Source organism: Homo sapiens, chromosome 18 (assembly GCF_000001405.40).
Source record: "Homo sapiens chromosome 18, GRCh38.p14 Primary Assembly".
NCBI classification, from domain to species: Eukaryota; Metazoa; Chordata; class Mammalia; order Primates; family Hominidae; genus Homo; species Homo sapiens.
Genome location: NC_000018.10, coordinates 3549962 through 3567586, shown reverse-complemented (window position 1 = coordinate 3567586; position 17625 = coordinate 3549962). Strand labels below are relative to the sequence as shown.

Sequence of the window (17625 nt, the reverse complement as noted above, 5' to 3'; positions counted from 1 at the left end):
TCCAGGTGGATGATGCTGAAGAACCTGACAAAACAGGGGAGAATAAAGCACCCAGTAAGTTCCAGTCCGTGGGAGTGCAAGTAGAAGAAGAGAAGTGGTAAGTCCACATGCACGCATCCTCTTTTGTCTTGATGTTTTGAAGTAAGGTAAAAGCATTTTTCCCCGTGATAAGTCTACAAAATTCAATGATATTTTCCTCTAAGTTTTGGGAGTATTTAAAGGGTGAAGTTGAATCAATATTAGTTGATTCTCTCCTGTACTTTAATACTAGACACCACTCCATTTGAGTTTTGTTTGAATAGTACTGTAAGCATATTACATACATATAAATACTGTGTGCAGTACTCTTGGGTTGCCAAACTATACCTCTGAAAACAAAAAAAATAAGAGACCTTCCCATATGAGACAGTGCACTTTTTATGAGAAGAGAACTTACCTTATTTCTATTTCTATTCCCAACACTTAATAGTGTCTGGTGTTTAGTGTGTGCTCAATGAATGATGAATGAATGAATGATGAATGAATGAATGAATGAATGAATGAAAAAGAAGATATTCCCTGTCATTATCCTGAATCACCAGTCCTTCAGATTACTCTTTACCTACTTTAGAGCCTTAGTATCTATAAATGGGAAATGTAGGATTTCATAAAATTACAGAATTTGGGGTCAATAATTTCATGTTGTAAATGAGAATCTGATGGAGAGAGGCATGTGAATTTCTCAAACTGGGAGTTTCTTGGTGGGTAGAACCATGTTTTATTGCTAGTAGTACCCCCAGCTTCCAGCATTGTGATTTGCACATACTAAATATACAGCAAATGTTGGCTGAATAAAGTAAAACTGGAGTTACGGTGAGAGAAACTACTCTAAATTATAAATCAGTGTATCATCTCAACTTTGCTACTAACTTTCAGTGTGTTAATTAGGAAGAATCATTTGAATGTCACCTATCCATCCTTCCATTATCCATCCATTCAATAAAATCTATGGAATGCCTCCTATAATCAAGGCTACATGTAACGTAAACTGAAAATCTGAAAAGGAGGAATTTATCAGTTTATGGAAATGGTCCTGTTTTAGAACCTCTCACTATTGATTGACACTATACTTTTAAGAGGTGTGTATATATATCATATACATATAGTTAATATATTTATTAATAAATTCTATGTGTGTATATGTAATATATATATATAGTGTGTGTGTGTGTATAATATGGCAAAAACCTCAATTACTTTTGCACCAACCTGATATAATTATGCAATGCTGGAAGCCCAGAAAACTGGTACGATCATTCTGGAAACAAATATGACAAAAGTTAGCAATAGTTACACATCTATCCGTACCAATTGACCCAAAAATCACACTCTTGGGGCTTGAGTTAAATTACTCAATGAAAGGTAAACAATTGTGAAACATTATTTATCATTGTAAAAGAAAAACACTAATTATCAAATAACCAATAATAGCATGCTTTTGTAATTTATAGCACCTCACCAAGGTAAACTATTATACAGCTATTAAATATCATTTATTTAAAAAGGTGGAGAAACATGGGGAAATTCCCATGATACAATGTTAGGTGAAAAACTTTAATATATAATATCCACGCATAGTGTTCATGCAGATGGACAAGGACTGAAATGTAATACGTACAAATGGTAGGTTTAGGAGTGACTTTTTTCTTTTACTCTGAAAAGTTTTAGTAATCATTTTTTTTTGTTTGTTTGTTTTTTGTGTGTGGTTTTTTTGAGACAGAGTCTCACTCTGTCGCCCAGGCTGGGGTGCAGTGGTGCAATTTCGGCTCACTGCAACCTCCGCCTCCTGGGTTCAAGCGGTTCTCCTGACTCAGCCTCCCGAGTGGCTGGGACTACAGGCACGGACCATCACGCCCAGCTAATTTTTGTATTTTTAAGAGAGACGGGGTTTCACCATGTTGGCCAGGATGGTTTCGATCATCTTGACCTTGTGATCCACCCGCCTTGGCTTCCCAAAGTGCTGGGATTACAGGCGTGAGCCACCGCGCTGGGCCGGTAATCATTGCTTTAATGTCCTAGGCATATGTTTCTTTATTAAGTGTTTTAGAAAAATTTTTGAAAGTATACATTTAGTAGACATTAAAGAAAATATATTCCTGGACATGGGCAATGGCTCACGCCTGTAATCCCAGCAGTCTGGGAGGCCGAGGCAGGTGGATCACCTGAGGTAAGGAGTTCAAGACCAGCCTGACCAACATGGTGAAACCCGTCTCTACTAAAAAATTACAAAAATTAGCTGTGCGTGGTGGTGGGTTCCTGTAATCCCAGGAACTCGGGAGGCTGAGGCAGGACAATCCCTTTAACCCAGGAGGCAGAGATTGCAGTGAGCCAAGATGACGCCATTGCGCTCCAGCCTGGGTGGCAGAGCAGACTCTGTCTTAAAAAGAAAAAGAAAATATATTCCTCCATCTCCCACCAGCCCAGCTTGGTGCCTTTTCTCAACGATGTAGTGGTTGACAGCACAGACTCTTGAGCCAGAACACCAAATCCTGGCTGTGCCCCTTACTAACTGAGGGGCCATAAGCAAATTACTACCCATCTTTGTGCCTTAGTTTCCTTATATGTAAAAAGGGGGTTACAAGCAGTTTCCACTATAAGCTAAAAGGAACTCGGAAGTCACCACTCCATCTTAGCAAGTAAAAATCTCAACAAACTAAAAAATCAACATCTCTTTGTATATCTCTTAGAGAAGGGAGGTCACAGGGCACACTGCTTCTCCCAAAATTGGAAAAACAGACAGATACAGAGACTTACAACTTACTGGAGTAGAAACACAAGTAGAAATCTCTGCAGGAACCAGCACAGGGTAAGAAAACGTAAGCAGTAACTGAAGAATTGTTGGAGGCTCAATATTGACAACTCTGAGAGTTAAAAGCTCCAAGGAAACCCAGTCATAGGGAGAGCTCACACTTTTGTGAGTTTTACCTCCAGGAACTCTACCAGGTCCTCAAAGTGAATATCAGAGAAAAAAAATCTCCTTGTGCTTCCAGAAAGGGGAAGGAAAAAATAACTACTTTGAAATATGCCAGCACTTTCTCTTCTTATTCACAGGGCCTGCACGCAGCAGAAACTATTTTACCAGAACCTTTTGCTGGCTGGGGTTTTATCAGAGCCTAGAACCTACCTGGGGGAAGGAAAACACTCAGCTCTAGTTTCCTCTAGCCTTCCACATGGGGGAAGGGACATACCCAACCTCAGCCCCCTTCAGGCACCTTATCCCACGTAAGAGAAAAAAATAAAAACAACTGAGAAACACTGATGAAGTTCACAGACCAGGAGCACAGGCTCACCAAAAGGCTGAGACTAATCATAGAACTGTAGAGCACTTTTCCCTCACACACACCTTACCAGTACATTACTAAATGCCAATTTACCACAGTTCCTTTCACCCAGTACATCATGCCCACTTTTCAAAAAATTACGAGGCATACTAAAAGGTAAAAAACACAGTTTGAAGAGATGGAACAAGCATCAGAACCAGAGTCAAATATGGCAGGAATGTTGGAATTACCGGGCCAAGATTTTTTTCTAATTATGATTAATATGCTAAGGGCTCTAATGAAAGAAGCAGAACATGTAGAGAGATGGAGAATGAAAAAGAGTTCTAAGAGAGATTTAAAAAGAAATGCTGGAGATAAAAAACACTCTAATAGAAACAAAGAATATCTTTGATGGGCTCACTAGTAAACTGGACACTAATGTCTAAACTTGAGGATATAACAATAGAAACTTCCAAAACTGAAAAGCAAAGAGAAAGAAGACTGATAAAAAGCCAGATCAGCTGGGCACGGTGGCTCATGCCTGTAATCCCAGCACTTTGGGAGGCCAAGGTGGGCGGATCACCAGAGCTCAGGAGTTCAAGACCAGCCTGGCCAACATGGAGAAACCCCATCTCTACTAAAAATAAAAAATTAGCCGGGTATGGTGGTGCATGCCTGTAATCCCAGCTACTTGGGAGGATGAGGTAGGAGAATTGCTTGAACTTGGGAGGCGGAGGTTGTGGTGAGCCGAGATCGTGCCACTGCACTCCAGCCTGGGCAACAAGAGCGAAATTCCGTCTCAAAAAAAAAAACCAAAAAAACAAAAAAAAGCCATAACAGATTATCTGAGAACAGTGAGACAGCTACAACAGGTGTAACTTTACATGAGAGAGGAATACAAGAAGGAGAGGATGGAGAAAGGAACAGAAGCAATATTAGAAGCAATAATAACAGAATTCCCCCAAATTAATGTCAGACACCTCAGATTCAGGAAGCTCAGAGAATACCAAACAAGATAAATGCCAAAACAAACAAACACAAACCAAAAAACTACACCTAAGCATATCATATTCAAACTTCAGAAAAATAAGACTTTAAAAATCTTGAAAAAAGTGAGAGGGAAAGAACATCTTACCTATAGAGGAGCAAAGATAAGAACTAGGCCGGGTTCAGTGGCTCACATCTGTAATCCCTGAATTTTGGGAGGCTGAGGTGGGTGGATCACTTCAGCCCAGGAGTTCAAGACCAACCTGGGCAATATGGCAAAATCCCATCTCTACAAAAAATACAAAAAGTTATCTGGCTGTGGTGCATGCCTGTGGTCCCAGTTACTCAGTAGGCTGAGGTGGAAAGATTGCTTGAGCTTGGGAAGTGGAGGTTATAGCGAGCTGAGATCACACCACTGCATTCCAGCCTCAGCGACAGAGAGAGACCGTGTCTCAAAAATAAACAAACAGAACAAACAAACAAAAAAGATAAAAGATAAGAGTTATATCTGGCCAGGCACAGTGGCTCATTCCTGTAATCCCAACACTTTCGGAGACACAGCGAGACTTAGTCTCAAAAAAAAAAAAAATTAACCAGGCGTGGTGGCGCGTGTCTGTAATCCCAGCTACTTGGGAGGCTGAGGCAGGAAAATCACTTGAACCCAGGAGGTGGAAGCTGCAGTGAGCCGAGATCACGCCACTGCACTCCAGCCTGGGTGACAGAGTGAGACTCCATCTAAAAAAAAAAAAAAAAAAAAAAAAGGGAGAGAAGAGGGCTTCTGCAGGGAAATTCCCATTTTTAAAGCCATCAGATCTCATGAGACCCACTCGTTATCATGAGAACAGCATGGGAAAGACCCACCCCCATGATTCAATCACCTCCTGCCAGGTTCCTCCCACAACGGGTGGGAATTGTGGGAGTTACAATTCAAGATGAGATTTGAGTGGGGACACACAAAACCATATCAGTTGCCCAGGATGGACTTGAACTCCTGGCCCTAAGCAATCCTTCCACCACAGCCACTTGGGTAACTGTGGCCACACAGATATAATTATTATTATTATTATTTTTTGAGACGGAGTTTTTGCTCTTGTTGCCCAGGCTGGAGTGCAATGGCATGATTTCGGCTCACTACAACCTCTGCCTCCTGGGTTCAAGCAATTCTCCTGCCTCAGTCTCCTGAGTAGCTGGGATTACAGGTGCCCGCCACCACGCCTTGCTAATTTTTATATTTTTAGTAGAGACAGGGTTTCACCATGTTGGCCAGGCTGGTCTCAAACTCCTGACCTTATGATCTTCCCGCCTCGGCCTCCCAAAGTGCTGGGATTACAGACGTGAGCCACAGTGCCCGGTTACCCTCTTCTCCTGTCTGCCACCATGTGACATGTGCTTTTCACCTTATGCCATGATTGTGGGGCCTCCCCAGCCACATGGAACTGTAAGTCCCATAAACCTCTTTCTTTTGTAAATTGCGCAGTATCAGGTATGTCTTTATCAGCAGCGTTAAAACGGACTAATAGCAACATAGCGAGGCTTAGTCACTATAAAAACACTCAAAAACGAAAAAAATTGAAAGAAGTATATCCAACTTCTCGGAAACCATGCAAGAACAGAGTGAAATATTTAAAGTATTAGGAGAATAAAAAACCAAAAACACCCATCTAGAATTTTGTACCCTGTGAAATTATCCGTAAAAGTGAAAGAAAAATAAAGACTATTTCAGATAAACAAAAATTGAGGGAATTTGTTGCCAGCAGACCTTCAAGAAATGTTAAGAAGTTCTTCTGAGAGAAGGAAAATGACATAGGTCAGAAACTAAAATAAAAACTTTCATTTTTCTGTTTTTTTTTTTTTTTTTTTTTTTGGAGATGGAGTCTTGCTCTGTCGCCCAGGAAGGAGTATAGTGGCAGGATCTTGGCTCACTGCAACCTCCACCTCCCAGGTTCAAGCGATACTCCTGCCTCAGCCTCCTGAGTAGTTAGGATTACAGGCACCTGCCACATCTGGCTATTTTTTGTTTGTTTTTTTTTTTTTGTTTTTTTTTTTTAGTAGAGACGGTGTTTCACCATGTTGAACAGGCTGGTCTCAAACTCCTAATCTCTGGTGATCCGCCCACCTCAGCCTCCCAAAGTGCTGAAATTATAGGCGTGGGACAGTGTGCCCAGCTCATTTTTCTCATTCGTAATTGATCTAACAGATAAGTTTGTTCAAAATAGCAATTGCAAAAATGTATTTAAATACATGTACATTTATTTATTTATGTATAAGTGAAATGAATGGCAGCAATGATACAAGGAATAAGTGGTAGGAATTGGAAATATTTAATTATTACAAAGTACTTGCAAAACCTGTGAAGTGTCACAGTGTTATATGAAAGTGGATTGGATTCGTGGTAAATACATAATGCAAACTCTAGGGTAACCACTACAAAGAGGTAAAAGAGAAGTAAAATTAGTATGCTAAGAAAGAAAAGAAAATTCAATCACATAAATGCTCAATGGAAAATTATTAACAGCAGAAAAAATGTGAAATACAAAAATAAGAAGAAAGAGCAAAGGCAAAAAAATAGAAAGTAGTAACAAATATGGTAGATGTTAATCCGACTAGATAAATAATCAGCTTAACCCTTTTCCCATTTAGAAAAAAATGTGCAGCTTGCTGCCAGTGCTCATTTAATTTTACATAAACATGCTTTTTTTTTTTTTTTTTTTGAGACTGAGTCTTGCTCTGTCACCCAGGCTGGAGTGCAGTGGCACAATATTGGCTCACCACAACCTCTGCCTCCCGGGTTCAAGAAATTCTCCTGCATCAGCCTCCCGAGTGGCTGGGATTACAGGCCCACGCCACCACACCTGGCTAATTTTTTTTTTTTTTTTTTTTTTGAGACGGAGTCTCGCTCTGTCACCCAGGCTGGAGTGCAGTGGCGCGATCTCAGCTCACTGCAACCTCCGCCTCCCAGGTTCAAGTGATTCTCCTGCCTCAGCCTACCGAGTAGCTGGGATTACAGGCACACACCACCACACCCAGCTAATTTTTGTAATTTTAGTAGAGACGGGGTTTCACTGTGCTGGCCAGGATGGTCTTGATCTCCTGACCTCGTGATCCGGTCATCTCACCCTCCCAAAGTGCTGGGATTACAGGCGTGAGCCACTGCGCCTGGCCCATTTTTCTCATTCTTAACTGATCTAACAGATAAGTTTGTTCAAAATACTAATAGCAAAAATGTATTTAAATATATGTACATTTACTTACTCATGTATAAATGAAATGAATGGCAGCAATGATACAAGGAACAAGTGGTAGGAATTGGAAATTATTAATTATTACAAAGTACTCGCAAAACCTGTGAAGTGTCATAGTGTTATATGAAAGTGGATTGGGGCCTGGAGCAGTGGCTCATGCCTGTAATCCCAGCACTTTGGGAGGCCGAGGCAGGTGGATCACGAGGTCAGGAGTTCAAGACCAGCCTAGACAATATGGTGAAACCCCGTATCTATTAAAAATACAAAAATTAGCTGGGCACGGTGGCACTTGCCTATAGTCCCAGCTACTCGGGAGGCTGAGGGAGAAGAATCACTTGAACCCAGGAGGCAGAGGTTGCAGTGAGCTGAGATCGTGCCACTGCACCCCAGCCTGGGCGACAGAACGAGACTCCGCAAAAAAAAAAAAAAAAAAAGTGGATTGGATTCGTGGTAAATGCATAATGCAAACTCTAGGGCTCTAGGGTAACCACTAAAAAGAGGTAAAAGAAAAATAAAATTAGTATGCTAAGAAAGGAGAGAAAATTCAATCATATAAATGCTCAATAGAAAACTATTAAAAGCAGAAAAAATGTGAAAGACAAAAATAAGAAGAAAGAACAAAGGTGAAAAAATAGAAAATAATAACAAATATGGTAGATGTTAATCCAACTAGATAATCAGTTTAACCCTTTTCCCATTTAGAAAAAATGTGCAGCTGGCTGTCAGCGCTCATTTAATTTTACATAAACACACTCCTTGAGGCCGAAGCAAATATGACTGATTTTCAATGTGAAAATAAAATGTAAAAACTGTTCTTCGAGTTATTTCTAAACAGAACTAACATCAGAATCATCTGAATCATCAGAATCATCTATTTCAGAAAAATTGGATTCATCAAATGAATCTCGGCCACAACTCTTTGAGGACAATGTTAACATCACGTGTAGGAATGCTACGTTTTCTAGGATTTGCCATTTTCAGCAATGGAGAATTACTATATTTTCTAAATGGAAATACCACTGCTAAGACCAGAATGCTATAAATAGGATGATGTCTTTGTTTCCAAAGTCAATATACTAGAGCAATGTGAAAATAATAATAAAACAAAATATTTTGTGGCAAAGTTATCTTGGGTTAAAGGCTGTAGCTGCAGGTGCCACCAGCAAGTATTCTCAGGGCAAATAGGAACAGGGTTAAACATTAGTATTTTACATATATCATTAAAAGACAGAGATTGTCAGAGTGGATAAGAAAACAAGACTTAACTATATGTTGTCTACAAGAAACCCACTTTAAATATAAAGACAGATATAGATTGAAAAGTAAAGGAATGGAAAAAGAGAAAATGTCTAGCACTAATAAAAAGAAAGTGGGAGTAGAAATATTAATCTCAGACAGAGCAGACTTCAGAGCAAAGAAAATTATCAGGGATAAAGATGATGATAAAGGGGTCAATTCTCAAAGAAGACATAAAAATCTTTAACATGTATGCACCTACCAACAGAGTTTCAAAATACATGAATTCTAGCTGGGCCCGGTGGCTAATACCTGTAATCCTAGCACTTTGGGAGGCCAAGGTGGGCGGATCACTTGAGGTCAGGAGTTCAAGACCAGCCTGGCCAACATGGTGAAACCCCATCTCTACTAAAAATACAAAAAATAGCCGGGTGTTATAGCACGTGCCTGTGGTTCCAGCTACTCGGGAGGCTGAGGCAGGAGAGTCACTTGAATCCAGGAGGTGGATGTTACAGTGAGCCAAGAGCGCTTCAGCCTGGGTGACAGAGTGAGACTCAGTCTCAAAACAAACAAACAAACAAACAAAAACTACAAAATACATGAGTTCTTGAACTGATAGAACTGCAAGGAGAAAAAGATGTATCTACTATTATAATTGGAGACTTCAACAATTCTCTATCAGAAATGGACAGGTCAAGAAGGCAGAACATCAGTAAGCACACAGTTGAATGCAACAACACTACTGAACAGCTAAATATAGTTAACTTCTATAAACTACTTCATCCAACAACAACAGATTACACATTCTTCTCAAGCTCATATGGAACATTCACCTAGATAGGGCAGAACATATTCTGGGTCATAAAACAGATCTTAACCATTTTTTTTTTTTTGTGAGACGAAGTCTCACTCTTGTCCCCCAGGCTGGAGTGCAATGGTGTGATCTTGGCTCACTGCAACCTCTGCCTCCTGGGTTCAAGCAGCTCTTTTGCCTCAGCCTTCCGAGTAGCTGTGATTATAGGCACCCGCCACCACGCCAGGCTGATTTTTGTATTTTTAGTAGAGACAGGGTTTCACCACGTTGGCCAGGCTGGTCATGAACAAATTTTTAAAATTATAAATCATATCATATCTGCTCTCAGGCCACAGTAGAATTAAACTAGAAATCAACAACAGAAGGATAGCTGGAAATTCCCAAAATACTGAGATTTAACAGCACACTTTAAATTACAAATGAGTCAAATAAATCTCAAGAAACTAAATATTTTGAAATAAATGGAAATACAACTTTTTTTTCTTTTGAGACGAAATCTCACTCTGTCACCCAGGCTGGAGTGCAGTGGTGTGATCTCAGCCCACTGCAACCTCCGCCTCCCAAGTTCAAGCGATTCTCCTGCCTCAGTCTCCCGAGTAGATGGGACTACAAGGGCACGCCACCACACCCAGCTAATTTTTATATTTTTTTAGTAGAGACGGAGTTTCACCATATTGGCCAGGCTGGTGTCAAACTCCTGACCTTGTGATCCACCAACCTCAGCCTCCCAAAGTGCTGGGATTACAGGCGTGAGCCACCGCACCCGGCAGAAATACAACTTATTAAAATTTATGGAATGAGGCAAAAGCAGTGGTTAGAGGGACAGTTATAGCATTGATTGCATGTATTAGAAAAGAAGAACAATTTCACATCAATTATTTAAGCTTCCACCATAGGACACTAGAAAAAGAAGAGCAAATTAAATCCAAAATAAACACAATAAAAGAAATAAATAAAATTATAACAGAAATCATGAAATTGAAAATAGTAATCAGTAGAGAAAAATCAACAAAACCAAAACCTGACTCTGAAAAAATTAATAAAATGATAAGCCTTTAACTAGGCTAACTAAGAGAGAAGACACAAATTACTCTTATAATATCAGACATGAGCAATCCATATGCCTTGGCCTCCCAACGTGTTGAGATTAGAGGCATGAACTACCTTGCCTAATCAACAGTTTCTTACAAAACTAAATATATTCTTTACCATACAAGTCAGCAATTTTGTTTCTTGGAATTTATCCACATGAATTGAAAACTTATGTTCACTCAAAATCCTGCACGTGGTTATTTATAACACCTGTATTTCTAATCACCCAAACTTGGAACCAACCAAGTTGTCCTTTAGTAGGTCAATGGATAAATAAACTGTGGTGCATACAGATAATAGAATATTATTCAGCACTAAAAGTAATAAGCTATTGAGCCACAAAAAGACATGGGAAAAACGTCAACGTATTATTACTAAGTGAAACAAGCCAATCTGAAAAATCTATATACTGTATGATTCCAACTATGTGACACCCTGGAAAGGCAACGAGACAGTAAAAAGATGACTAGTTGCCAGGGGTTAGGAGGAAGGAGGTATGAATAGGCTGAGGATGTCTGGGGCAGTGAAACGATTCTGAATGTATAATGCAACGGTGGATACGAGAATGTACAACACCAAGAGTAACCCTACTGTAAACCATGGACTTTGGGTGATAATGACAGCCAGTGTAGGTTCCTGAACTGCACCAAAAGTGCCACTCTAGTGTGAAATGTGGATATCAGTTGAGGCTGTGTGTGTGTCGGGGGAAGGGGTGTATGGGAGTTCCCTACTTTGTGCTCAATTTTGCTGTGAGCCTAAAACTGTTCTAAAAAAACAAAGTTTATTAATTTTAAAAAGGGGTTGGAGGAAAGCGGACTATAGCATTAACCTCAGTGTGTTGTCCTGGGGTGTTTTGTTTAATACATGTAAAACTTTTAGAGCAATACCTGATATATACAATGCTCTGCGTGTTTCCTAGTCTATTAAGCACTCAAATAGAATCTCTCTAAAGAAAGAAGTTTCAAGATAATAATTATGCTGCCTTTTCTTCAAAAAAAAGGAGGAGAAAGTCGTCTCCTTTACTTTACTTCAAACATTTCTCCTGCAATCAGCCAGTCTATCTTTCCAGGTTTTTAAATTTATTTGTTTATTTATTTATTTTTTTTGAGACGGAGTTTCGCTCCTGTTGCCCAGGCTAGAGTCCAATGGTGTGATCTTGGCTCACTGCAACCTCCGCCTCCTGGGTTCAAGCGATTCTCCTGCCTCAGCCTCCTAAGTAGCTAGGATTATAGGCACACGCCACTACACCCGGCTAATTTTGTATTTTTAGTAGAGACGGGGTTTCACCATGTTGGTCAGGCTGGTCTCGAACTCCTGACTTCAGATGATCCGCCCGCCTCGGCCTCCCAAAGTGCTGGGATTACAGACGTGAGCCACTGCCCCCGGCCTCAAATTTCATTTCCACAATAATGCTAAATATTGCATTGTTTGGTCATACCTAGTAGCAACCTAAAAAACTTTATACGAGCCATTTTTATCATTATTTTTTAAAGTTGAACTTTATTTGAATTATTGAAGTTTGTAGAATGGTCAGTTCCTCAGTAAACTGAGTAAAATATTTAAAACTCATCCCCAAAACGGTTGGCAGGCCAATTTTAGTACTTAGCTTTCCAAAACATACCCTTCTTCAAAGGTCACTTTATAGTTAACCACTGTAAAGTAAATAAGCATTGAAATTGATGTTAATGATTGTTTTCAACCTCTCCAAAAGAAATCCATTGTCAAACAGGAAGAAGGGATTACCAATACCTTCTGTCTCTAACTTAATTCTTTTATGATTTTGCTGGTTGTAATTCATTTAGATAGGATCTTAAAAAGCAATATCGGGCAGATGGGATTACTTAATGACAGCTGAGGGGTATTTTTTTTTTAATTATCTGGTGATAAAGGTGAGGCTGTTGTTTTCACACTGAATGGCCAGTTAACAACTTATCTCTTCCTTTTTCAAATAAACAGACTGATAAAAGACAGCAACCTAACAAAAAGTGAGAAAAAGAAAGAAAATTGAGCTGAGAAAGAGATAGTGCAAAGAAATGATTAAAAGACCTTGTAAGAGGCCAAGGGACTCATTTCCTTTTGAATCAATTATAATTTAGGAACAAAAACTAACCCAGCAAGGCCCACCTAACTGATTGATCTATTAAGGAGTAGACTTCTAAATTTAGTGTGGTTTTCAGTGTTCCAAATCAAAACAAAAAGAAGTTAAAAACTCATTAGTAAAAACTAAAATGCACCAGGTAGCCCTATCTGCTTCAATAACAGGAGTTGAAATGGAGCATCACAAATATCCCTGTTACATTTGCAGGCCACCATGACATTCTCAAAATGCCATGGATCGCAAATGCACATTGTCCATTCTCTGGGGCTGCCTCGCGGTGAGGACCGTGGACAGAGGAATGCTGTCTGAAGATCACTAGTTTAAATGCCGTGGCAGCAGGAAGCCAGGGATAATGAATGCGTATGTCGTTTTGAAAGGAGACTGCTCCTCTCAAGCCAGTGCAGAAACCCATCATCTTCATCAAACATTAGCTGTTTTCCCCCAATTCCTGTTTCACAGGTCAGCTAGTGGTACCGCTCTATAGGACACACATAGCATGTGTTTGCTGATATGCAGGACTGATCCTAAGTAAAGCAGGCAAATCTTGGCAACATCTCCCCAAGGGGCACTCACCTCCGCCAGTGGCCCCATGCAGAAGTCTCCAGCATCATGTCCCAATTGTCTCTCATCCTTTTGATGGTCCCCAGGAATTTGTATGAGGTCCTTTTGTCTTTCAGGCTGATAATTAGCAAATCTAGTAAGCCAATCCTTTCTGTTGACTTAGGTGAGAAAGCTAAGAGGTTCCCAGGAATCTCCCATTTCCTTCCAAATAACAATTCTATTTTAACAGTGGCTTCAAACTAGACTTTCTTACATTAGCCCATTAGTGACTCTAAGACTCCAGCAGTGGACACAAAGAGGAAGAATATTACTGTTTTCATTACAAAAGTAGTATGCAAATTTACTTGGAAGAAAACATATCTTAACATATTAACAGTTTTTAATTTTGATAGGCTTTGGAGTAATTTTTTAAAAAACTATGTGTGGGCCGGGCGTGGTGGCTCACGCTTGTAATCCCAGCACATTGGGGGACCGAGGTGGGTGGATCACCTGAGGTCAAGAATTTGAGACCACCTGGCCAACATGGTGAAACCCTGTCTCTACTAAAAATACAAAAATTAGCCAGGCATGATGGCGCACATCTGTAATCCCAGCTACTCGGGAGGCTGAGGCAGGAGAACTGCTTGAACCCGGAAGACGGAGGTTGCAGTGAACTGAGATCACGCAATTGCACTCCATCCTGGGCGACAGAGTGAGACTCTGTCTCAAACAAACAAACAAAAAACAAAAAAACTATGTGTGTATGTATCTTCTTTTTACGTATTATCTACCTTTTCCACAGTAATTACATATTATTGAACAATGCAATTAATGATAAGAAAAACAAAGTAGTATTTACATTGTAAAAATGTATAAATTACAGAAATAAAATAAAGTCGCCCATAATCCTATCCATTAACCATGAACAAATAAATAAGTATATTTTTACCCACACTTTTTCCACGAACATTTAAAGAGTTGGTGGAATAATCCTATGTATAGTCTTACAACATCTTTAAAATCAACAAACATTATTTAAAAAGTTTTCTTTTTACTATTGAAAATTCATAGCAAACACCTCTTTTAATGAATGCACAATACTCAAATTCATAGGAGGACCATAATTTCTGCCCCTTTCTCCTTCTGCCGGATTATCAACATTACTTTTAGATGATTTCTGTTTAAAGATGGTGAAAAAAAAGGATACACATGTATCTTGGAGGCCTTCTGAAACTAAATGACAATAAAAGGAATTTTTGTTTGTTTTGGCATTAACTCCCAAGGAGGAAGAGAACAAGAGAGAAAAAAAAAAACAGCAAAATTTAGCAAGCTAGAAAGCAGATATGGAAGTGACAACCGATTTGGCAGACCAGAGAAAGCTGAATCGAAAGCCAGTAGTGCAGGAATCCAAGATGTAATCCCATTTAAATTTAAGAACCCACAAAATGCATGTGGATGGGTGGCATTGGGCGCTCTGAAAGCGGGGATGAAGATGGAGCTAAAAAGTCCTTGAATCTGCGGAGCCAAGTGACAGTCCTTCCTTACCCTGACAGAGACTGAGGGTGTCTCTTCTTCAGAGGCTAAAACTAAGGGTCTCTGGCCTGGAGGAGACCAGCATAGTTGAGAGCAGGGTGACTATACTGAAAATAGGAGGATTAAGTGAAGATATACAAACAGTGTTGAGGCACACTGCCCTGAGCCTTCTTAGGCTCGCTCAGCCCCCAGGGTCCCGACAGCAAGGCACAGAACCCTCTACATGGCAGTGTGGCAGAGTCCATTGTGGAGGGCTGACCCTTCTGAGCCCAAAGACCAGAAGATGCTGACATCCGGGATTTTGCAAGATGAAAGCCCAGCCAGATCACCCTACAGTGAGGATTAGAGAGGATAAGCTCTTCCCAAAAGCATAGACTTCTAAGCTGGGTTTAGTGTGCTTCTCAAGAATGAGAAGACAAGGATCAGCAAACTCAGGGAGATAAGACAAGAGCCAGAAAACTAGAAACAAAAATTGTTCAGGAACATTCAGAAAATTAAAAAGTTATTTTTGAGAGAAAAGAGAGGAAAGGTGAGTAAAGAAGCATCCATGAGGGATGTGGAAGTTGTCAAGGTCTTCCTCAAAGAATCTTCTTATCCACCTGGAAGAGATGAGGGAAGGGGCAGAAGTGAAAAGTGCTCTTGCTAGGAGTGGTAGCTCATGCCTAATCCCAGGTCTTTAGGAGGCCAAGGCAGGAGGACTGCTTGGGCCCAGGAGTTCAAGACCAGTCTAGGCAACATAGTGAGACCCTCTATCTACAAAAAATAAAAAGAAAGAAAAAAAAAAACAATTTAAAAATAAATTAGCCAAGTGTGATGGCGGCTGCCTGTAGTCCCAGCTACTTGGGAGGCTGAGGTGGGAGGATCCCTTGAGCCTAGGAGGCAGAGGGTGCAGTGAGCTGAGATTGTGCCACTGCACTCCAGCCTGGGTATCAGAGTGAGACCCTGTCTCAAAAGAAAGAAAAAAAGGAAGGAAAGAAGGAAGGAAGGAAGGAAGGAAGGAAGGAAGGAAGGAAGGAAGGAAGGGAGGGAGGGAGGGAGGGAGGGAGGGAGGGAGGGAGGGAGGGGAGGGAAAAGAAAGAAGGAAAGAGACAAAGAGAGAGAGAAAGGAAGGAAAGAAAGAAAGAAAAAGAAAGAAAGAAAGAAAAAGAAAAAGAAAGAAAGAAAAGAAAAGTGTTCATAGAAATAATAGTGGAACTGTGGCTGGGCATAGTGGTACACACCTGTAATCCCAGCACTTTGGGAAGCCAGGAGGGCAGATCACCTGAGGTCAGAAGTTCAAGACCAGTCTGGCCAACATGGTGAAACCTTGTCTCTACTAAAAATACAAAAATTAGCTGGTCATGATGGTGGGCACCTGTAATCCCAGCTACTCAGGAGCCTGAGGCAGGGGAATCGTGGAACCTGGGAGGTGGAGGTTGCAGTGAGGCAAGACCACCACTACATTCCAGCCTGGGTGTCAGAGCAAGACTTCGTTTACAAAAAAAGAAAAAAAGAAATAGTAGCAGAACTGAAAAATTCAAAAGGACTTGGAAGATAAATTTCAGAAAAAAAGCATTTATATGTATGTGTATATATATATATATATATGTATATAATATTAGTCAGTTTGGGCTGCCATAACAAAATACAACAAACTGATGTCCTAAACAACAGAAATTTATTTTCTCCCAGTTTGGAGGCTAGAGGCATAAGTCTGGTTCTGGTGGGCTGGACGTGGTGGCTCACGCCTGTAATCCCAGCACTTTGGGAGGCCTAGGTGGTGGATCACCTGAGGTCAGGAGTTTGAGACCAGCCTGGCCAACATGGTGAAACCCTGTCTCTACTAAAAATACAAAAATTAGCCAGGCGTGGTGGTGGGCCCCTGTAATCCTAGCTACTCGGAAGACTGAGGCAGTAGAATCACTTGAGCCCAGGAGGCAGAAGTTGTAGTGAGCTGAGATTGAGCCACTGCACTCCAGCCTGGGCGACAGAGTGAGACTCTGTCTTACAAAAAAAAAAAAAAAAAAAAAAAGGGTCTGGTTCTGGATCAAGATGTCAGCAGTGTTGATTTCTCATGTGGTCTCTCTCCCTGGCTTGCAAATGGCCATCTTCTCCCTGTGTCTTCATGTCGTCTCTCCTCTGTGTGTGTCTGTGTCCTAATCTCCTGTTTTTATAAGGACACCAGTCATACTGGATTAGAGCCCACCCTTGGGGCCTCAATCACCTGTTTAAAGGCCCTAAGGCCAGGTGCAGTGGTTCACACCTGTAATCCCAACTCTTAGGGAGGCTGAGGCAGGATGATTGCTTGAGTCTAGGAGTTCCAGACCAGCCTAAGCAAAATAGCCAGACCCTCTCTCTTAAAAAATAAAAAAAATTAGCTGGGCGTGGTGGCATGTGCCTGTAGTCCCAGCTACTCGGGAGGCTGAGGTAGGAGGATGGCTTGAGCTCAGGAAGTTGAGGCTGCAGTGAGCCGTGATTGTGCCACTGCACTGCAGCCTAGGTGACACAGTGATACCCTGTCTCAAATAAAAATACAAATTAAAAATAAAGGCTCTGGCCGGGCGTGGTGGCTCACGCCTGTAACTCCAGCACTTTGGGAGGCCGAGGCAGGTGGATCACGAGGTCAGGAGTTCGAGACCAGCCTGGCCAACATGGTGAAACCCCGTCTCTACTAAAAATACAAAAATTAGCCGGGCATGGTGGCATGCACCTGTAGTCTCAGCTACTTGGGAGGATGAGGCAGGAAAATCGCTTGAACCCGAAAGGTGGAGGTTGTGGTGAGCCAAGATTGTGCCACTGCACTCC

The 17625-nt window shown here is 40.9% G+C and overlaps 1 protein-coding gene across 33 annotated transcripts in view, besides 1 other annotated feature; it reads left to right on the top strand.

Moving 5' to 3' along the window:
• Positions 1 to 17625, top strand: part of DLGAP1 (DLG associated protein 1) — a 959276-nt gene that overhangs the window by 887721 nt on the left and 53930 nt on the right. For all 33 annotated transcript variants that reach the window (NM_001398527.1, NM_001398526.1, NM_004746.4 and 30 more), the window contains one exon: positions 6 to 97. In NM_001398527.1, coding sequence (NP_001385456.1) covers positions 6 to 97 — 92 coding nt within the window. The remainder of the gene's footprint in view (positions 1 to 5; positions 98 to 17625) is intronic.
• Positions 12158 to 12708: an enhancer, noted in NCBI's record as "NANOG-H3K27ac hESC enhancer chr18:3554877-3555427 (GRCh37/hg19 assembly coordinates)". NCBI's record gives its function as "activates a minimal SCP1, AML or CMV promoter by ChIP-STARR-seq in primed H9 embryonic stem cells {active_cell/tissue: H9 hESC(primed)}" and the evidence as "EXISTENCE:reporter gene assay evidence [ECO:0000049][PMID:30033119]".